This window comes from Homo sapiens, chromosome 6 (assembly GCF_000001405.40).
Source record: "Homo sapiens chromosome 6, GRCh38.p14 Primary Assembly".
NCBI lineage: Eukaryota > Metazoa > Chordata > Mammalia > Primates > Hominidae > Homo > Homo sapiens.
In genome coordinates, this window is record NC_000006.12 from 125046913 (window position 1) to 125070790 (window position 23878).

Sequence of the window (23878 nt, forward strand, 5' to 3'; positions counted from 1 at the left end):
TTTCTCTTCTATAAAAAGCATTATTTTTGAGGTTACAAAAATTGTATAACTAAAGTACTGCCCTACAGTGGTGTTGAAGGCTAACTGAACATTAATAGAATACTTTTATTTCATGCTATATATCCTTAGATTATTTTTAAGTTATTTTCATTGCAATTGTATGTTATTGTATAAGATCAGGAAATTACTAGTTTTAGAAGGACTCGTAATTCCATAAATTAGGATATTCAATTTTTTTCTAATATATGTTTGGACTTAGATACATAGAAACTGAGACTATACTAATTTTTAAAATTGCAGTAATTAAAACATGTACAAAATTGAATTAGAGTGGGAATAACTGAGTAACTTTTAAATGTGTTGTTTTTATGAAATGGGTAAAGGAGTTATAATTTAAGTCACAATTATGGCAATAGTGAAATGTTTTACGTCTCATTTCATCTGAAATCACCAAAATCATGTTGTGATGAGCATAATGTATCACAATACACATGTATTGAGAGTGAAATATGTAAAAATTGACAAATAGAAGATTCTATATTTGTGTAATTTTGAGCGAGCCCATGGTATTCTGATAACATTTCCCAGAGGTCAGGCTTCTCCAATGTCTATCAATTTGTTGTAGGTAAGAAGAGAAGCAGGGGCAAATGGACCAACATCTTAAATTTATTAAACTCAATTGATTCCTTTTGATTAGTAGAGGAAAAGAAAATTTGCTTTGGTGTGAGGAGGAATTCAACAACACAATAAATGTTGATTATGAAGCAGTTAAGATCCTCAGATCAACATCTTAAATTTATTAAACTCAATTGATTCCTTTTGATTAGTAGAGGAAAAGAAAATTTGCTTTGGTGTGAGGAGGAATTCAACAACACCATAAATGTTGATTATGAAGCAGTTAAGATCCTCAGCGGTGGGTGTGGGGTGGAAATCTCATTACACTATAAAATGAAACTTAAGCAAATTTCAAAAGAGTAAAACTACCACAGAATTTGAGGATGATTATTTTTGTTACTCTTCTTTACTAGTGTAGAAGAGAAGATCGATAACAGAAGAAGTTAATAATCTCCTTGATCTATGCTGTACAAAGTTCTAGCAATGATTCAAATAATTCCTGAAGCAATAATTTTTACTTATTTTAGTGTAAAGTTTATATAACATTTTTCATCATTAAACTCTGTGGTTTATGTTAACATTAACTACCTGGTTTACATGCCCATACCTGTCTGGGTATTATAGGTAAGGAGAGCACTGACATGGATACCCCAGCCAACCAATCGTGAGATTCATGGCCACAGTATGGCACCCTGTACTGAGACTAAGATCTTTGTTCTTTGTGATGAACAGGTGAACATTTTTTATTTTGCAGTATTTTTAAAAATTCAGTTTCCCTAATAAAATAAGGTAGTTCCAAATTGGTGTCATTTATGGTAACTTTAAGAGGAGTGAATTCAAGTACTCACACACAATACATTGCATCATGAGGCAACAGAAATAGAAAAAAAAAGGTTGCTGCTAATGTCTGACGTTTCTGTGCAATTTAACGTCTCTTTATAATAATGTTTACAGGCTTAAGTAGGTTTGTATCTACTGATAAAACCCTTGTAATGTTTATTTTAATGTTATTCTGAGTCATTGATTCACAGTATCTTCATCCAAGATGTCATTCTTTGAACATTTATTATGGCTTTTGCTGTCAATTCAACTGTTTGAAAATATTATAGCTATTTTATAGCTGAGTAAGTGCTTCTCACATGAAGTTTGAGACCTAAAATATCATATATGGGGGTTTTAATTTTTGTGAAGACCACTTGTTAAATTGTTTGTACTCAGCAGGTGGATAAAGGGTAAAAAGAATATAAGAATAAGCAGTAACTAGAACTCTTACCTGTCCATTTGTCCTTCCAGGCCCAACACCCAACAATTCCCTTCTGGCAAAAATCTGAGTAAATAGAGCTTTATATTATGTTCTGAACATCGTCAAACTCATACTATATCAAATAGAACAAGTGCATTCGTGAATTGAGAGATTTACATTCAGACAACCTTGCCTTTTGTCAAATCCAGTCTCACTTTTTCATCCATAGTATTTCTGTCTTCTTCTCCCTAAAACTCTTGTCATGATGCCAGAAAGGCTTACCGTTCCATTTCTACAAGGTTGACGTCAGCTTCCAACTAGAAATCTAATTTCTAACCTGAATAGTTCCTGTAATTTATCAGTGCAACAGCAACCGCTTATCAATATAGAGAACAAGTTAATGATGGAGAAATAAAAAAATGTTGAAGTTTTGACTAATGTCCTTATGTTATGCCTGGAGATAGACACATCACCCACACCCAAAGCTTTTCACCATAGCAATTATCACCTGGGATTTTATGATATATATGTGTGGTTATTTGCCTTAAGTTTCTCTTTCTAACTGGTCTCTGGGAGTCCAGGTCCAAGTTTACTTCATTTACTGCTGATAACCTGTGTCAAGCCTATGTCTGATAGAGGGTGCACTCAAAATATATTTGTTGAAGGATTCATTTAAGAGTAAACACATTAAGCCTTGAGGTGTTGGATTTACCAAGGTTGAAAAGGCAGGTCAGAGCACTGCTTTCACACTGGAATTAAACTCTCAGCCTGTCACACACTAGCTCTGTCACCTTGAGTATCGTTTCCACGTCTTTAACTGGGGATAGTAATAGTACCTATGTCATAAGAATGTAGTAAGAATTAAATGAAATCACACATATAAATTACTTAGCACCACATATGACACATACTGGAAAGTATTATGATTGTTATTATTATTAGGCAAAGAGAGCAGAATGAGCAACCCTGGGTATTGAGAAGGGCATGGGGGAGTAAAAAAGAATATAGTTGAAAGAAAACATGGGGTGAGTGGTGGACAATGGGCAGAAAGGAGGGGTAAAATTGACTATGTCTGGAAGAGGAGGAGCAGGTTTGGGAAATGGAAAATTAGTTCAGTTTGAAATATGTTGATAGTGTTAAGTTTGAAGACCCTTTAGGGCATCAAAGAGATGTCCAGAAAACATGACTCAGGAGTGATTTGGTGGAAGTCATCAATATTGGGGGCAGTGAAGGGGATTGTCATTGAACTTACGAAAATGAAAAAAATATTCTTTGGGAGGTAGAGGAGGTGATAGCAGTTCTTTATGGAAGAGAGGAGAGATGTGTAAAGGATTAAAAGTAGTTATTTTACTCATACAGGTTTTACTGAGGTAGGTGCAATTCTGGGTTTCATTCTTATTCCAAGTGCAGACTGAATAAATGATCCCCCTTTTCATATCGATTTGGAGAAAGAGTTGAAGGTCATGCTTATCAACATGTTAGAGAACACGTTAGAGGTAATTCTTTTGATGGTTTTCTTCAGACAAGACTAATAATCCCCATTCTTCTTCCCACAAATGTTAAGCAGAATCTTGATAATTTATACAATGGCACTTTTGATGCATCTTTCACCCCAGGTGAAAGAAAAAAGCCAATAAAATTCCCTGGAGAAACTCTGTCTGTGTGCTTACCTTATCTCTCTAGCTGTCTTTTTTTCTTTCTTATAAACCCTCTGAGTAGAAATTACATTTTATAAACACTACACAAATATTTTCTCATGTGGTAAAAGAATTTTCTAAGGGCTTTAAGAATACAGTCAAATCAATCGGTTGTTGCGAACTGGTGTACTTTAAAACGTGCTTAACCTTCCTCCTGGTAAAGATAACTTGAGAACTGTTTCCCATATATAAGAATGTGTAAAGCTTTCCCATGAACGTGTAATGAGTATGCTGCTTTGTTCTGGTTTTCCCTGACACCATCACTTTAAGTTGACAGTGTTTACAAATGGAGAATCTAGTTGTGCGTCTTCCCTGCAAGGTTAGGGTAGCTTACAACACACACTGATTTCTCTTGGGATTAATGTATCACTCATGTCAGGAGCCCATAGAAAAAAAGTGTAGTTTCTTAAATGGTTGTTGTTGGCATAGATTTATGAGACAGTTAAAGTCGTCTAGCCCTGTTGATAGACGCCAGTGTAAACAAAGTGTGTGTTACATACATTACCCTTGAAAAAACATATAACACTCAGCTATGATGCAAGCCTACTAAATTATGTTAGCATTTCTTTCTTCAGTTACTAATGGAGTGTTTTGCTAAGGCTGTTCTTTGTTTGCTTTTTTGATGCATAAATTAGACACAATATTTTTAGAGGTTTTTAACTTGTGCTTGAACTTCTAACAGCCAAATGTTGGAATTTATCTGATATTTTAGCCTACACTTCACCTAAAAAAACAAACTATAGTAATAATCAAATCTTGCAGCTAGGATAAATTGACCTGCACTGGTACTAAGAACTGTTTTCCCTTTATCCTATTGTCATTGGGTCTTTAGCACAATGAACAAGTGAAGAATCGTCTCTCTCTGATGGCCCCCGAGATCGTGTGTTAAAGTAGGCCAAGTGTGGTGTTCCTTATAAAATGGTCTGGAAGATATTCTGAAAGAAGTGAAGTGAAGACCTTACATTTCTTATCTACCACCCTCTGTGCTACTACCTTTCCATATTTACTTACTTAGATTTGTAAGAGAATCTACTGGGGCTGTCTACACAGTGCACGGATCCCCTCTACAATATGCCTACCAGTTGGCCATGCAGACTCTGAACACTGCTTTTGTTAAGGAACTTGTTAATAGAATCATTCCTTTCCATTTTCAAAAACCTCAGATTTGAAATAATTCATTGTTACCTTTAGGCTGAGGTATGCTTCCCTCCTGCCTTCACTTATTGGTCACAGAGAATATTCCCATTTCCTTATGTACACTTAACACAGTGGACCTCTTGCTACTTTATGTGGGTACCTCTTGTGAGCTGTTATCCTGATTCTGTTGTGTTCAGAACAGGACATCTTGTTCAAAACAGGATGATACCACATTTTTCTGGCCAGGACTTTGGGCTATGCAAATCAGGGAAGAATTTTCCAGTACCCTTTGTGTTCACCAGTGAAGAAATGGGTCCTCGGACAAGAAATAGACCCAGACAAATGCTTCTCTGGGCTTTGCTCTCTGGATTTACAGGAAGAGTCTGTAAATGCTGAAGGTGTTTCCAGGTGGTAGGAGCAAGATGGACTGATATGAAATAGTGATTTTCAAATTAGGGAGAGAGTACTTTTTCAAACAACCCCCATTCTCAAGTTCAGACATGCTGTCCAAGAAAAGTATGAGTCCAGCTTGAACATAAAAGCTAGTATTGAGGTGAATGCATTGTGCAATAAATAATTGTGTTGCATATGTAAAAGGAAACCAATGTTGAGGGAGTTCAGTAAGGTTATTTATATAAATAAGCACCATATCTCAATATAGCTTACCTTGTCATGCGTTTTGTGTGTGTGTGTGTGTGTGTGTGTGTGTGTGTGTGGTTTTATTTGTTTTGTTTTGTTTTGTTTTGTTTTGGTCTGCTGTTGGTCCTCAGCCTTTAGGAAAGTTTCTCTTTCCCTTTCCAGCTTAGTTTTAGCTGTGCTGTGAGAAACTAAGGCAAGGATCACTTGGCCACATTTGGACTGTTTTCAAGGGTGCAGTGCCTCATGAAGACTGTATGTTACTGGCATTTCCATGCAGGGAAGAGATCCCCAAGTAGGCAGTGAAATATCAGGGAGTAAGATTAAAGACAAGAAGTCAAAATATGTTTTCCCATATGGAGAATTTCTTTCCATTGCCACCATCTGACTTTAGGATTTGATGTTATAAGGGAGCAAACAGTGCTTCCTTGAAAGTATTTGAAGCCATTCATCAAGACTCATTTTCTCCTCTCTATAACATGCTGTACCTCTCCACATCTCATCTTCAAGAAAAGCATCTTCAGTTTTTAAAACATTTTTATAACTACAAGATTTCCCAATTATTTACCATTTTGGTTAGTTTCTTTAGGACATACCCGAATCTGACAGCCATGATTTTTACATGTTTCCTATGCAGAGTTTCTGGACCATGGTATATTTTGGGGGACATGCCAGGATTATAGGAACTTACTGGCTCCATTTATTGTACACTTAGCAAGGATCAGGGTTGAGCTAGCTGAAGTGACATCTCTGTTCAGGCTACATTAGAACACTTGCTGTTTCCCCAATATATCATGTGCTCTTGGGCCTCTGTGTGGTGGCTCAGGATGGACCCTCTATTCAAAGTGTTACCTCATCACTTGTCCCTGTAACATTCTACTCATTGTTGAAGGCCACATTCTCTCTGAACGCTTATGTTCCAGCTTCACTGAAGCCTCTTTCCATGGCACTCACTTGTCCCAGCTTCTATTCTGGCAGTTACTATATGCCTTTATAGCTCTTTTGGTTTATATCTGTCAGACCCCAGTAAGTTCCTTAAGGACAAGTATTTTCATTTTTTTCTGCCTACAATCAACATAAGCAGTTCCTGCTACTTGAAGGTGCCCAATAAATATGTGTTGGATGGGAAAATGAATTGATACATGTGCTTCATTATTGAGAATCTGAACCTGAGGTTCTAGTAAAGCAAATCCTTTTTGGAAAACTGAATCAGCTCTTATATTTGCAGTGCTACTTTACACATGGATGTTGTCTAATATTTTGAATTTGATAAGTAATGATTTTGTGATTTATTTAAAATAATGATGTGTATAGGGGTATCTAGAATTTAGGCAGGAAAATAATGATCTGGGGTTTTCTTTAGTTTTAGACACTGTTTTTATTTTGTGGGTTGTTTCCTTACTCGACTTGATGAATTATCAGGAGAAAATGCCATTTTCTTAGGGCAGGTGAGTCGGCGTACTTTCATCTCAGTATAGCACAGATTTCTGGTAAAACTAAGGGTATTCAAAAGTCAAAAATCTAATGTAAGGTTCTTTTATCTTTTGTGAGTTCTGGAGAAAGCTAATTAAGATTCTTAGCTCTGATAACTTTATTCTTGAAGCACTTGAAGCCCTGCTTGCCTCTTTTAGAAGAGTTTGTGCGTTGATCATAGTGCTTAGTAAAAGTTCATTAGGACAATGTATTTAGTAAACATCATCTGATAATATAGGAATTAGTAATACTACCTCAGCCACTAGTCATAAATTAGATATGTTGGTTTTTCTTTGAATTCATTTAATGTTAACTGATACGTGATACCTAAACTGTGTGTAAAATCATTCATTTTACATGAGACAAAGCCTTTGACAAACACAGTTCACTGAGGAGTGAACTTGTGGGCTGTTGGAGAGATTAGACATCTACATCCCTAATGGAAGTTCCATAAGAAAGGTACTGAATCTGGTTGCAAGAAATAGGGAAGACATCTTGAAGAAAGGAGCATTTGATCAAGATAAGATTTTAATAGGTTTAATCCACTGGACTCTTCCAGTTACCAGAAGCAGAAATGTACTGTTTCTTGGGCTACCTCAATTAGTGAGGTTTAGTCTAAGGCTCCATGGGGAGCAGGAAGGGCAGGAAAATACTCTCTGCAGCTGCCCAGGCAGGCCTCATAGAGAATCAGACACAAGCTCTGGTAGTGTGAGAGCCCTTCTGTCATCTCACCAGAAGTCAATGTCTGTGTCCTTCTCCAGTGGTCTGCATTGTAGTCATTTAGCTCTTCTCTGTCTTTGCCTCCATGAAGGCATCCTTTGTATCTCTATGACACTCCTCAAGAGAGAAAAATCTATCTTGGCTAATTTCCATTCAACAATGAGCACCCATGCTACACAAAGCTCATGCCACCGCTTAGGCAGCTTGCCAACTAGTGGATACATGTTTTTGGCTTAGGGACTCATTCCTGGTCCAATAAATTGTGGCCTGGGCGATGCAGTCACATGGTATAGAGCAGTGCCTCTCAAACTTTAGGATGCATACAAATCACCTTCGGACCTTGTGAAAATGTGCACTTTTGGCTCTGAGGTCTAAGGATTCATGAATTCTGTGTTTCCAACAAGTTCTCAGGTGATGCTGATGTTTCTGGCCCTGCAACCACACTTTGAGCCACAAGGACAGGGCATGATGATTTCTGTGTGACTGTAATTACTAAGAAGGCAGGCACTCCATGTGGTGGGTATGTGGTTGTGAGATAGCATTTCATGTGGAAGAATAACTGTAAATAAAAGAGTGGAGGAAGATGCAGTGTTGATGTCTGTATGTGTTTGCGTAAGGCCAATTTTGAATATGGTTAAGTTCAAAATGAATGAGGCATCTTCAGAACAAAAAATCTGGGACAATTTCAGATGTAGTCTTTTAATACCAAAGTTGTTGGAGTTGGCTATTAGTCCTTTTATGGTTTTAATCCAAAGCAAATAAAGAGTGATTCTGATGTTTTCAGTGAGAGATAGTAAGCAATCCAGTATGAGTTTAACTTATTTGTATTCACTTGAGAGACTGCCCCATAACTCTGGTCACAGTTTCCCACTAAGTCTGTGCTGTTGGTGAGGATTTGCAATAGGATCTGCAGTAGGACTTGGTTGTTTATTATGAGCCAGAGTCCCTGGTTTGGACACAAAGCGTCAGATTCTTTATTATTCTGATGCCTTAGGAGAATCATGCATTGCTATAATTGTCTTCATTAGAGATTCACAAATGTGATAGTTCAGCACTTAATCACAAAGATCTTTGAGTCATTAAATGTCTGACATTTATAGAGCGAATCCGAGTTTCAAAGCATCTTTACATTCATTCTAATATTTCATAAATATAATCTAAGACTGATTAAAAACTAGAGAGATCTTTTCAAAAAGTTCATTTAATGATGCTAGAATCTAGTGATTCAGAATTATGAATAATGTCCAATAGAAGATAACCGAATTAACTTTTCAGGTGTTCTGACTTAATGTTAGATGCATAAGGAAAAGCAATTTTTTTCCTTCTTTCCTCATTTCATTCATTATATTGGAAAGGAAGGCTCCATGTGATATTTACATCTAGTCTTCATTGCTCAATGGCAAATGGAAGTAAACATTTTATATTGTTTTCTTAGCTGAATCTCATCTACTTCAACTTGTTTTCTTTTAAAAATGATTTATTTTAATTGTAATGATCAAAAAGGAAAACAGTTATTTTAAATAACTAAAGAGTAACATCCTTTTTTTCTTTTTTCATTTTTTTACTTAAACCAAGTAGTTTCTCAATTTATATAAGTAGATCTTGAAAAGAATTTTCAAAGTTCACCTTATCTTGGTAATCATGTGGAATTCTGACTTATTGAATAGTTTAATGATATGACCATCTTTGACTACTACATTTTAAGTTGTCAATTGTCAAAGAACAAATGCCGTTTAGTATAAGACTATAGTGAAAATTATGCTAAACTTGGAGCCAGACAAACTTACGTTTAAATTCCTTCTTAACACATATGTGCTGTGTTACCTTCAGCAAGTTATTTAATCTATCTGAGTCTCATTTCCATCATCTGTAAACTGATGATGTTCATATCTACCTTCCAGCATTATTTTGAGGATGAAAATAAATAATGCATGTAATATATTCAACATAGACATTATCATTGAACAGAATTTTAATAAATAAATAAACGTGAAAATCTTTTAAGCCTTATGACAGAATACCATTTTTATATAAAGTTAATAACAAAAGTACTTTTACTTCATAGTTGCACAAGAGGAGCATTATCCATTCTTGACATAAGTGAAAATTACAGTGCTTTGAGTTATTAACAGAAGAGCTGTGATTGTAATTGCCACTCAGCTAATTAGTCTATATAGTAGAACCTCCATTGTCAAAAAAGTTGTTTTCCAAAAAGGAAATTCTAACTAACCTTTAAAATGTAGTCAGTGAATTCACACATGCTGCAGTGACGTGACATAGAGGAGCAAAGAGAGTGGTCAGTTATAAATATCATTCATAATGAGACATTTTATTAATCCATTGTAATCACATGGGGCTCTGTAAGTCAGGTTATACCCATATGCTTTTAGAGAGTTAGGAGTGGAAATAATGTGTATGAGTGGAATATTCCACTATCATTCAAAATAAAGGAAGTCAGATAAAATATCCTCCATGTCAAGTGGAAGACAGATATTCATATTAAACTTACACGTGCACTGTCATATACCCCTCCACATAGTGAAATATGAAGGCCCGTTTCTGACGGTTTTCTAAGTACAGGCCACAGGGCCACTATATTGATATATTTCTAATAATAGAATGCTTTGCATTGTTTTTATAATTAGCCTGCCTTACGTTGGTAGCAAACCAGGAGTATCCATTATTTTAAATGCTGCTTCATAGCAAATGCTGTTCTAGCAGTTTGTTTGTTACTGTGTTTTTATTGTTGTTGTTGTTGTTTTGAGATGGTCTCTCTCTGTCGCCCATGCTGGAGTGCAGTGGCACAATCTCGGCTCGACTGCAACCTCCGCCTCCTGGGTTCAAGTGATTGTCATGTCTCGTGTCATCCTCCTGAGTAGCTGGGATTACAAGCATGCACCAACATGCCCACCTAATTTTTATATTTTTCGTAGAGATGGGGTTTCACCATGTTGGCCAGGCTGGGCTTTAACTCCTGACCTCAAGTGATCTAGCCGCCTCAGCCTCCCAAAGTGCTAGGATTACAGGCATAAGCCACCACACCCAGACTGCTACTGTGTTTTTTATTTGATGAAGCATCTGTGGGGCTTTTTAAAAATAAAATGAAATAAGCCATTCTTAAGAAGACAATGGAAATGGCTGGGTAATTCGTTCAAAGGAAAGGTGAATTAAAGGGCAGCCTGAGTGTGTGGATTTGGGGCCTTGTGAGCCTTCAGGTTCAATCTGGGAGACTGCACTTAAATCTGGGAGATTTTCTTAAAGCTAAATTGGTTTCCAGAACCAAATGTTTAACTCCAGTACAGCCTACAAATAGCCAAGTCATCCTTGCCAAAGCAATTCTTTCCTGTAGTAACAGAGTATTCATATCTTCCTGTAGTTTGAGTCTTATAGAGGGGGAGGTATTTTAAATTATAAACTTTTAGCTAATTTCCCCAAGCATCACCTTCTTATCCTTTTAGACACTTTCAGTATATCCACTAGTAATTAATATGATTTTTTTCTTACACAGATCCAGTGCCCTACCTGCCAATTCGTCTGGTGTTTTAAGTGCCACTCTCCTTGGCATGAAGGTGTTAACTGCAAGGAGTACAAAAAAGGAGACAAATTGTTGCGTCACTGGGCCAGCGAAATTGAGCATGGGCAGAGGAATGCCCAGAAGTGTCCAAAGTGCAAGGTGAGATAACTTTTAGGAGGAAAAGAAAAAACATGTACATCTGGATGTGACTGAACAATATTTACATTATTGAAGGGAATTATAACTGTCTTAATGCAGGTATGTGGAAAAAGAGTATTGCTCTTTTATTTTGGAAAAGTAATTATATAATTAAACTGAAAATTTTTATAAACCATGTATATTCTTATTTTTGCATTACTCTTCAAAATTTAAGGAGGCCACATATAAATATTGACTTAAGACATTGAGGTCCTTATATTACATTTAAAAATGAGGATGTACTTTATAGGAAAAATATAGCGTAAAAGTGATATAAAAGTATAAGTTCTAGTCTGCCACGTGTACTATAATTACTTCTCAATTATATAGGCTTTGAATCCTTGCGATCTTTTGCTTTTCTTTCCTTGCTGACATTGCTGATCACTTAAAAATTACATTAAATTGAACTGATTGTTTTGCTTTTTTGCAAATCTGGTAAAGTAAAAGCTCATAGCTAAAATCAGGACTTAGGGATTTTATGAATCCCACTTTTCATCTTTCTTTTGATAATCATGCAAGTAATCAAGAACTAGCAGGCAATTTGAGCTCAGACCTAGATGTGTTGAAAGTTAGCCAAGCAAACAGCCAGGGAAGACTCTCCTACGGGAGGTCAGCCAGTAAATTCAACCAGAAAACTTTGGACTTGATGTCTATAGTATAGGGATCTGTTGAAGTTTGAAAGTTTTAAAAAATCTTACTGTAGAAAATCATGTGTGTGTACCCTTTGCCTTATGTGGTTCCTACCCTTTGCCAAATTTATTTTTGGAAATAATCTCTAAATTGGCCTAATTATCTTTTAAGCACAATTCTGCAATTACTTCTTGGAGACTTAGCACCAGATAAATGAAACTTGAATTGCCAGAAAATGTTTAAAATTTAAAAATTATGAATACAATTGGAAGTAAAAGTATATTCTAAGCCTATAAATGAGCATAATAATAATAAATGTACAGATTTACTATACCAAATTCACATACTGGTTTATAAATATAGTAAGGAAAAGTATTGTATGAAATAACGTGTTGCATTTTTAGCAATTGGAAGAAATTTTTGAAATAGTTTAGATGACCTGGCTTTCTAATAGAAGTGATGTCTAAAGATATTTGGCCTAAAGTTTTCTTTGTTTTCCTTGTAGAAGGCAAATTCATCCACAGTCACCCATTTTGTTTTAGAGCTATTTCAGATCACTGCATCGGTTGCTCAGTATACTTATTTTTCATTCCATTAAAGAACAACTAGAAAATGAGGCCTTCCCCCCTTTCTCTTGCCTTTTTAGTTTATTCAAAGCTACTGCTCAGTTTCAAACAAAACAAAGACCAGTAGGAACTTAGAGTGCTGTTAAGTTATTCTACTTAACAGTTATTCATAAGTGCATTTTATATCCTTTGGAAAGCTGTAAAAACAATTCCAAGTTAGCCTGGTTCTACAACTGGATTTGGAATGAGCACCACTGCAGCATTATACGTTGGGGAAATTCTGAATAAACTGATGTAACACAAAATACATACATTTGTTACTGTAATCTCTTAACCCAACCTTAAATGGACTATAATGTAAAGGAAGAAAAAGAAGCCGACCATGGGGAATTTACTGAATGTTCTAACAACTTTCCACAGTTGTAACAAATGTAGATAAACTGTTAAGAGAAAGCATAAATGCTGGTTCCCCTTTGAAGTAATAGCTAAAAGGTCAGGGCTTTAAAAGGGATTACCTTTTAAATAGCTGAAAGGAAAAGAACCATGGAATCAGTGGACATTATTACATTGTAGCAGAGAGCCTACTTTCTGGTGGGATTTGGGTTCTGTGAAGTTTCTGTCTGTTTAAGTCATATTTTATGATGTGTTTGGAGTATAAATGGTTTCATTTTTCTTTCTCTTTTAAGCATGACTTTAAAACTTTACCTTTTTTCTTGGACCCTAAAATTATGTTTTGCCCCATGGAACATTTCTATTATTACAACAGAAACCTATGAGGAGATATTACTGAGTGAATTAATATTTGTTTTATACTGTAAGGCTTTCTTTTCATAAATATATCTTTTACCATTTATAAATATAAAATAGGAAGATGGTAGGAATTTGAGTAAAAGAAATGAAGAATTTCTCACATAATGCCTCCAGGTAAACAATTATCACATATTTTCATATAAATGCTTTCAATCATGATAACTAAATGTATTTAAAATTTTGTTAGGAAAGTATATATGTGTATACACACACACACACACACACACACATATATATTTGTACCCTACTATAGGTATATGTTTTAATTAGTTCATAATTTTAGTAAATATTGTTATTTATTTATTTATTTTGAGACAGAGTCTTGCTCTGTTTCCCAGCCTGGAGTATAATGGCACGATCTCGGCTCACTGCAACCTTCGCCTCCCAGGCTCAAGCAATTCTCATGCCTCAGCCTCCCAAGTAGCTGGGATTACAGGCATGAGCCACCATGCCTGAGTAATTTTTGTTTCTTCAGTAGAGACGGGGTTTCACCATGTTGGCCAGGTTGGTCTCAAACTCCTGACCTCAAGTGGTCCACCCGCCTCAGCCTCCCAAAGTGCTGGAATTACAGGTATGAGCCACCACGCCAAACCATATTTTGATTTCCAAATGATTTGTTTATCAAGGTGATATAACATCAGATAGAAATTTGGAAAAGAGAGGGAAAATATTCACCCAGAATTCTGCCGCCCCAGTGTACTTACTCCTAACATCTTATTGTGTGCCCTTGGTCTTTCACCCTATTTAAATGGCTTTTTAAAAAGTTTTAGTTGTGATGTTCAAATAATTTAATATCATTACTATTTTCACCTAACATTGCAAACATTTCTCATATTACTGAGTAGTTTTCAAAACATTTATTTCATTAACCATGAACTGTGTAACACTTGCTTAAATATTCCTCCACTATTGGATACCAAGGCTTGCTTGGTTTGTTCTGGGATTTAAAAAATTGTGTATTATAAATAATGTGTTGATGATATTCATCTAGAATTTTTTTTCCATATTTTATACCTTTGAAAGCATATATTTATAAAGGTAGAATGACTGGGTTAAAGAATACCTAAGTTTTTAGTATTTAGCACATATTGGCAATTTGCTTTCTAAAAGGAATGAATCAATTTATAATTCCACCTAGAAAGTTTGAGGACCTGTTTCAGTATGAGCATTTGTTGGCATTTTAAGTATTTTTTAAATATTAATTTAATAATTTTAAAATATTTTTTCTTGTATTTTATATTTTCCTGTTTGCTTGTAAACTGAATATAAATTCATGTATTTTTGAGTTTGTAATGCCCCCTTTTAAAATTTTCTGTTCATACCCTTTGCCCATTTATGTGGGACAGATTGGGGCATATTTTTATTATCAAATTTTATGAGCTCTTTATTTAGATATTTAAACTCCACTTCTGGCATTATTGTCTCCACATTTTCCCTGTTTTCTATTTCTTCCTTTTTATTTGAGTGGTAGGTTTTCGTTTTTTTTTAAATTAATTGATTTGCATATGTATTGTTTAGTTTTTTTATTTTTGTTTTACTAAATATGTTATTCTCTTTCTTTGTGGTCAAATACACAAGCACATATGTCGTATGAACACATATTTTTATATATTTACATATCTTTGTATATCTTTTGTAAATATGTTGCTTCTGAGTTTAAAAAGTCATTCAGAAGTTTGATTAAAAGTTCAATTTTCTTTCTTTATTTGATTTTTTAATATTTTAACTCTTTAATCCAACCATAATTTATTTTAGTGCTTATTATGCATTGGGTACCTGAAGTAATATTTTTTCCAAATTGAAACCATCTAACCCAATTGTGTTTATGGGATGACTTTCCCCTCATCAATTGATTTGTAATTTCTCTCTAAATTATATCTTAAATTACAATATCTTAAATTATAATACATAATAGTCTCTTTTCTTGCTGCTGATTTTTAAAGAAAATTCTGTACTTACACTGGTGAGTTTTAAACGATTATGCCTTTGTTAAATTTGCTAATCTAAGCAAGGTTTGATAATCTATTAATTCATTATTTTAATTAGTATTCTAAATGAAACAAAATTTTATCTTATTTATGTATTAAGCATTACTTCTCTCTTAGTGAGTTTTTACCTTTTTCTCAAATGGATAGACCAATTTAATACATGATATAGTATTATGAAGAGATTTGACTTGTGCTTAGAAATCAAAATTTTTATTTATAATTGTATTTTGGCAGGTAATCAGGATGAACATTAAAATTTTTTTCCTCATGATCAAGATACTTACTTACAAGTATGATTTTTATAGTACGATAAAAATATACAAACATATCTAGAATTAATTTATAGAATATTTTTATGAAAACATAACCCACCACATTAAGGTCAACTTTACTTAGCCATTTTTATTTGAATCTTATTGTTCCTTTTGTTTGTTTGTTTGTTTTTGTTTTTTTTGAGATGGAGTCTCACTCTTTTCACCCGGGATGGAGTGCAGTGGTGCTATCTCGGCTCACTGCAACCTTCGTCTCCCGGGCTCAAGAGATTCTCCTGCGTCAGTCTCCCAAGTAGCTGGGATTACAGGTGCCCACCACCATGCCCGGCTAATTTTTGTATTTTTAGTAGAGACGAGGTTTCACCACGTTGACCAGCTTATCTCGAACTCCTGATCTCAGGTGATCCGCCCACCTCAGCCTCCCAAAGTGTTGGATTACAGGCGTGAGCCACTGCCTCATTGCTTCTTAATGCAAAGTATTTTTCAGTCACTTATGAAACACCATTTTTTATCTTAACAATGAGTTTTCTATTTAATGTAAATTCTTAACCTATGGAAAATATGTGCTAATTTTGAAATGTCTTCTTTAGTTATCTTAGTTATCACAAAAATAAATCTAGTTTGTAGACTTAGTCATTACAAAACCAAGTCTAGTTCGTAATAGTTTTAATATTAAATTTAAAGCAAGTAGGCAATCTAAATTTTGTTGGAGGTATCAGAATATTTGTTCAATGTCATGCAAAAATTCATTTTAGACTGTTTTATACCACAGATTAGATACTAAAGTCTGAGTTAAGAAGAAAAGTTTCTAAGTCAAAAATTAAAAGTGAGATGCATGCTAAAAATAACAAACACAGGATTATACGTTATAAAAGCAAATAAACAGTTAATGAGCACTGTCACACATACACTAAATTGTAATTTATTTTATTCTAAGGTCAACATATTCATTATTTCTAGATGACAGGAAGTTACTTTTATGTTTTTAAAAGAAAGATCAAATGTGCATAGTCATTTCTGGATTCTGATACGCCATCTCTATACAAAGTACCTTTGTCCGGTGCTCTTTGTTTGTGGTGTTATCACAGTAATAATAACACTAACATGTACTGACATTTATTGCATGTCAGTCTCCTCTGTAGTTACTATAAATATATTGTCTCATCCAAACTTCAGATGTGATACTAAGATTCTGATTTTCAGTGTACCACTCAGATCATCACTATTAAGTGATTTGATAAAACTTTAAGGTTTTGCACAATAATTATAACATAACAGGATTGGTAGTATGTAAGTTTCATTTGTTGTCTCAATTCTCAAAAGAAAGTTGTAAACAAGAGGTAATTACCACCATTTCAAGATGCAGAACCAGTTTCAGAGAGTTTAAGTAATGACCAAAAAAGCAAGCAGAAAAAAAGTGAATTGTATTTATTCATAATTTATTATAAATTTGGAATTAGAGGGATTTACTTGTCATGATATTTCCCTTTAGATATTTTATTCTCTTCAATCCTATAATAGAATGCTTTGGGCAAGAATGTATTGATTCAAAGAAAATGAATAATCTTCCCCTGTTCACATAAGGTCAACACAAAAGCTATTTTTTTGGTCTTTTATATCTGTGGCTATGTAACTTGCAGTTGCTGAAATAAGAATCCGAAGTATTAATGTTGCATCTTATAGGTATCCTGCAATTCCTTAGTACTTCATATATCACTACAAAAGCACATTCAGAGGCTGACTACTTTCAAATAATGCACATTCAGAGGCTGACTACTTTCAAATAATGCCCATTCAGGATAAAATAGCTTTTCCCTAACTACTGATAAACCATTTTTAACTCTCCAGATTGCTTAAAATCACTAAATCTGGAGCAGGGGTTATCATTGGCACTGTTTTTATGGTATGCCAAGCTCTAGACCTTAGTTGTTAGAAGCATGATTGTTTGACGGCACATACTTTGGAGGATATTAACTACATTGTATCCAATGCCCTGTTTTTATGACAAGTAATGTTAGTACTTGCTTACGGTCCTGAGATTAAATATAATGTGACTACCTATAATATTTTATTTTAAAAATCAATATGTTGTCTTAGTTATAAAATAGAAATAAGTGAAAATATTGTAATGAAATAATGCATATTTTAACATGTAAATACTCAGATATCATCAAATTTTATGGTTCCTAAAATGAAGAAGTAAAAGAGGAAATGAAGAAATAATGAAGCAGTCAAATTTGTGCATGCATTTAGATTTAAGAAACCTTGAAGTGAAATTTGAATGTTATCAATACCTATCCTTTATATTTAATATTTTAAAATGAGGACAAAATAAGTACGTGTGTATATATTATTTTTATATGTATATCACATGTCATCTATACTTGTATGTATATACACATACATATTTATGTGTGTGTATGTACGTGTGTATATATATATAGTTAGGGTACTAGAAAATGTAGTGTACCTTAAAACCATGCAAACATATTTTGGACTTACATATAAAGTAGAATTAGCTTCTGAATATAACCAATCTCATCAATTTACACAGTAGTTATATAACTGAAAAATTCATTGTATATTAAAACTATGCAATCACGCCGGTAATCCCAGCACTTTGGGAGGCCGAGGCGGGCGGATCACGAGGTCAGGAGATCGAGATCATCCTGGCTAACACGGTGAAACTCCGTCTCTACTAAAAATAAAAAATAAAAGATAAAAAAAAAATTAGCTGGACGTAGTGGCAGTCGCTTGTAGTCCCAGCTACTTGGGAGGCTGAGGCAGGAGAATGGCTTGAACCCAGGAGGCAGAGGTTGCAGTGAGCCGAGATGACGCCACTGCACTCCAGCCTTGGCAGCAGAGTGAGACTCTGTCTCAAAAAAAAAAAAAAAAAAAAGTCATGGAAATGTTATTTTGTGTTTATACGTAAAATAGAGTTTGGTTCTAACTTAAGATATTTCAAACAGAGTTTTACCAATATGAATGTCCGATGCATTTAAAAATTACATGAGAAAAGCTCAATTCTGTATTGTGCAGGATATTCTAAGCATTGCAGGACATACATAAATGCCAGCCCCACCATCTTTGTGACAACTAGACACTCCAGCAACAACTAAATTCTGAAGCGTCTCCTGGGGCATGAGAGCACCTGTTGAGAGCTGTGTTATAGATGATGAGGGCTTCTGCAAAGGATGAAATCCAGTGATCTATGTAGACAAGAAATTGAGTAAAAAGCTGCCCATTTTCCATGTGGGTGCTGATGGAGACATTTTTGCTAAAGGATCTAAAGCTTTCTTAATGTAATTCATTAGTTTCCATTTTCATTTCTTTTCAGGTTTTAAGAGTTGCTTTCTCTTTCTACAGCAAACTACACATAGAATTAAAAACAGGGCACACATTTAGCTGTTGGCTCAGTCGGTAGGCAAATCGTAAAGTTTTGGGGAACTGTGAGAAAAGCTATATATCCAAATAGCTACTCAACATCTTCAACCGGATCTAATAGACTTCTCCAACGCAGTATGTTCTCTTCTCCCCAAAATGGTTCTTCTCATAGCTTCTCTGTCTCAGTAAATGGCCACTCCAGTCTTCCAGCTGCTCAGGCCAAGAACTTTAGGTTATCCCAGACTCTGCTTCTTTCATTTCCCATGTCTGGTGAGTCATTAAGTTTTGTAGATTGTGCCACTAAAATGTATTTAGAATCTGACCATATCTCAGTACCCCCACTATCACTAACCTGGGGCAAGGCATCATCGTCTTTCTCTCTGCAGGATTTTCATGTACCTCCTAACTGGTATCTCATTCTTCACAACGTTCTTAACCCAGCAGCTAGAATGATGCTGTTAAACATAACGCAGATTACATCACTCTGCTCAAAATTGTCTGTGGTTCCTATCTGACACAGAGCAAAAGTTAGTTCTATGATGACCATAGAACCCGTCGCCCTCTGGACATGTCCCCACTCTGTGACTCCTCTAGTCATATCTTTCCTTCCTTCACCCTGCTACAGTCAAATTTCACTGCTGGCTGTGCTTCGAAACTGCAGGTATTCTCCCTTCTCAGGATCTCAGACTTGCCTTGTCCCTCTGTCTGGAATGTTCTTACCACAGATGTGTGCACTGCCAGCTCTCTCACTTCTTACATGTTTTTGAGGAAAATTCAGCTTCTCAGTAAAACTTCCCTTGGTCACCTTATCTAAAATTTCAAACCACCGTCCCCTACCTCAGTAGGTACTATCCCCTCCCATATGCCTTATTTTTTCTCCATGGTATTATATTACTTATCACTACTTAAAATAATGAACATATTTTGCAGCTGTGAGAGCAGAGATTTGATCTATTTTATTGTCTGAGTTACCTCTAGTATTTAGAGCTGCTGCCAGGCTTTGGATAGCACTAAATAATAGATAATGGCTGAATAAATAAATGAATATACTTTTTCATTCTACCTTATATGGACTTTTAATGAGAATTTGTTGTGTGCCCTGTAGGATGTGGTTCTTTTTCTTGTGGAACTTGCAGAAGGGGAGACATAGTCCTTAGACTGACAATGATAAACACTATTGCACTTCAGTGGAATGTTGCAGGAGTATTATACGAGGGTTCATGGCGAAAGGACTCAACACCATCTTGAGGAATCCAAGGGAGCTAGGTTGTGGAGGATTGTTGGGTGGATTATGGCATGATGAAAGGTATCCAGAAGAGGGAGATTACAATTAAAACTGCAAAGGCACAGAGCCAGGAAGTGTTTGATGTCTCTAGGAGCCACAGGCACTTTGTGGTTAACTTAGCGTAAGGTTTATGCAAGGAAGTGGTGAGAGGTGGGGCTGGAGAAGCCAACAAGAGCTGGGACTTTGCAAACAACATTAAGATAGTTGGGTTTTATCCTCCAGACTATAGGGGCCATTGAAAAATAAAAGCAGGAGAGTAGTGGTATCAGATTTATATTTTAGGTTGGCTGCTTGTTGATTTTATGGTGCTAGCTGTAGACATCTGAAAGAAAAATAATGACAATATGAACTAGGCCAGTTGTCAAAGGGCTGGAGGAGAAAAGAACTAGATAAATATTATGGGGCTAAAACTATCTGACCTTGATGGAAAGTTGAATGTGGGAAGTAAAAACAGGATAACCACCAAATATTTAGTATGGGTATCTAAATGGATGGTGATACCATAAACTAAAATAAAATAATGGAGACAGAGTTAGAGTTATTTATTTTTTGTTGCAGTGGTGAGCCATGAAATGATGATGAGTTTGGTTTTGTTCACTTGACTTTGAAATGGCTGTGAGGGATATAGGTATATCTGACTAGCAAACAGTTACTATGTGAGTCAGAAGCTCAGGAGCCAGGTCCTCAGTAGAGATAAAGATCTACCTTTGTTGGAATAAAGTTGAAACCATTCGAATGTGGAAGTGATCACTCAAGGAGCAAATGCAAAGTGGTGAGTCCTGGATGGAATTAAGGGCTTGGTGAAGGAACAGGAACCTCAGAGAGGAGAGGAGAAACTGGAAAAAAGATGTCACTGAAGCAATAGTGTATCAAAGGTCAGTAAGGAGGTACTGAGCGACTGATTAAGTGACACAGAGCTACAATAAGATAAAAATTTAAAACATGTTCATTATATTTTGCAGATGGGGGTCATGGATAATATTCATGTGTTTTTTTAAAAAGTATTTATTAAGAACATGCTGTGTGTTGGTACTGTGCACAGCTCTTTAATGAGATAATGAAAAAGAAGTACCTGATCTGGGCCCCTGTAGATTTTATAGACTGGAAGAGTAGAGAGTCTGAATGGAGGGATACAGATAATTAAAGAGTTTTAAAATGTAGAGTGAGGAATGCTGCAACAGGGCTAGTGCAGGGTGCTTCTCAATTAGTAGATACAATGCCATAAATATGCTGTATTTAGAATTCTCTCCCTACCTTTAAGTCCCCTTAACTGGAGAACTGCTACTTGTCCTTCATTTCTTAGATCAAATGTCATTTTCTTAGAGAAACCTCCTCTGACCCTTACACCAGATCAAGCTCATCTATTGAGTACTGTCTTCATACTTTCTACTTTTCCTTCACAGCATTTGGCATAGCTTATGAATATATATTTGTTAGTACAATTGATTACTCTCTGTCTACACCTATAAGCTCCTTAAGGGCAGGAGCCATGTCAGACTTTATCAGTGAGAAAATATTTTTTCATGCATTTGGCATAGCTTATGCATATATATTTGTTTATACAGTTGGTTAATGTCTGTATACATGTATAAGCTCTTTAAAGGCAGGAGCCCTGTCAGATTTTATCAATGAACAAAGTAATTATTTGTTGAATGAAAAAATGAATGAAAGACAGCTAGATGTTTCAAGAACATGGGATTGCAGTCAGCTTAGGAGGAATTGAGATGCAAGTAAGAACAATGAGTAGTATTCTTTGGAAAAATTTGGTAAATATGAAAAGGTGAAGGTAATCATTGGGTAGAGGGCCAGGTGGAATGAAAGGAAGGATTTAGTAGGATGACATGTATAATCACAGAGAGGAGAGGTGAAGATGAAGCTGAAGGAGGGGAAAACTGGCATCTGAAGATTTCTGAGAACATGGGGCAGTGGGATCAAGGGAAGTGGTGTGGTAAAGAAGAAGGAAGAAAACTAGGCTCATTTATTGTACGGCTCTACCCTGAGGAATAAGATTTGGACAGTATACTACACTTTAATGAATTCTTGTCATTATAAATTAATCATAAGACTTAACTTGAAACATGAAATTTTCTGTAACAAAAAAAGAACTCAGTACATTGGAGACAATTATTGCTATCAGAGTGTTGGCCTTAAAAAGCTAACATTATAGCAAGAGACACCAAATAATTTTGAAATCAGCATCTATTTATTTTTGCAGCATAGTCTACTGTGATAGAAGCAGCTGTTTCTTATTCATTTGGAGTTTTACACCTGATAATTACCTCTAAATAGTAGTCTTTTACACCTAGTCCTTGATATTTTCTATTGACTCCCTGACATGGCAGTTGAGGATTCATTTTACTTACTTGAATTCAGCTGCATTCATATTGCTGCAAAGGATGTGATTTCATTCTTCTTTATGGCTCAGTAGTATTCCATGATCTATATATACCACATTTTCTTTATCCAGTCCACTGTTGATGGGCACCTAGGTTGATTCAGTTTGTTTGCTATTGTGAATAGTGCTGCAATGAAAATGCAAGTGCATCTTTTTCATGAACTATTTTCTTTTGGGTATATCCCCAGTAATAGGACTCCTGGGTCCAACTGTAGTTCTAAGTTCTTTGAGAAATCTCCAAACTGCTTTCCACAGTGATTGAACTAATCCACATTCCCAGCAATAGTGTATAAGCATTCCCTTTTCTTTGCAGCCTCACCAGCATCTGTTGTTTTTTGACTTTTTAATAATACCCATTCTGACTGGTGTGAAATCTCAGGGGATTTTTTTTATTTCAATAGTTTTTGGGGTACCGTTGGTTTTTGGTTACATGGGTAAATTCTTTAGTGGTGATTTCTGAGATTATAGTGCACCCATTATCCGAGCAGTGTACACTGTACCCATTACATTATGCCTCATCCCTTTCCCACTCTTACCTCCTATTCCTAGTCCCCAAACTTCATGAGATCATCTTTATACCTTTGCATCCCCATAGCTTAGCTCCCACTTATAATTGAGACCATACAACATTTGGTTTTCCATTCCTGAGTTACTTCACTTAGAGTAATGGCCTCCAGCTCCATCCAAGTTTCTGCAAAAGACATTATTTCATTTCTTTTATGCTCTTCAGTAGTATTCCATGGTGTATATATAGCATGTTTTCTTTATCCACTCATTGATTGTTGGGTACTTAGATTGGTTCCACATCTTTGCAGTTGTGAATTGTGCTGCTATAAACATGTGCGTGCACATGTATTTTTCATATAATGATGTCTGTCCTTTTGGATAGATATTCAGCAGCAGGATTGCTGGATCAAATGATAGCTTTACTTTTAGTTCTTCAAGGAATCTGTTTTCCATAGTGATTGTACTAACTTGCAGTTCCACAAACATAAAAGTGTTTTCTTTTCACCACATTCACACCAACATCTATTGTTTTTTGACTTTTTAATTATGGCCATTCTTGTAGGAGTAAGGTGGTATCTCATTGTGTTTTTAATTTGCATTTCCCTGATAATTAGTGATGCTGAGCATTTTTTCATATGTTTGTTGACTGTTGGTATCTCTTCTTTTGAGAAATGTCTATTCATGTCCTTTGTCCACTTTTTTATGGGATTTGTTTGAGTTTCAGGAAATTTTTTTAAAGCTTTCCTTGTAACTTTTGTTTCTAATTAATTCTTCCAGGTATCAAAAGTCATTGAAGGAAACACATATA

The 23878-nt window shown here is 35.3% G+C and overlaps 1 protein-coding gene across 12 annotated transcripts in view; it reads left to right on the forward strand.

Moving 5' to 3' along the window:
- Positions 1-23878, forward strand: part of RNF217 (ring finger protein 217) — a 130198-nt gene that overhangs the window by 84476 nt on the left and 21844 nt on the right. For 10 of the 12 annotated variants that reach the window (NR_136734.1, NR_104440.3, XM_011535494.3 and 7 more), the window contains one exon: positions 11030-11194. Coding sequence is in view for 8 of the 12 variants with exons in the window: in XM_011535494.3 (XP_011533796.1) it covers positions 11030-11194 (165 nt within the window). In the remaining 4 variants the exon portion in view is untranslated. Of the gene's footprint in view, positions 1-1239; positions 1348-11029; positions 11195-23878 lie in introns of those variants that run through there. The other 2 variants (XR_001743178.2, XM_047418242.1) reach the window with 2 other exon arrangements.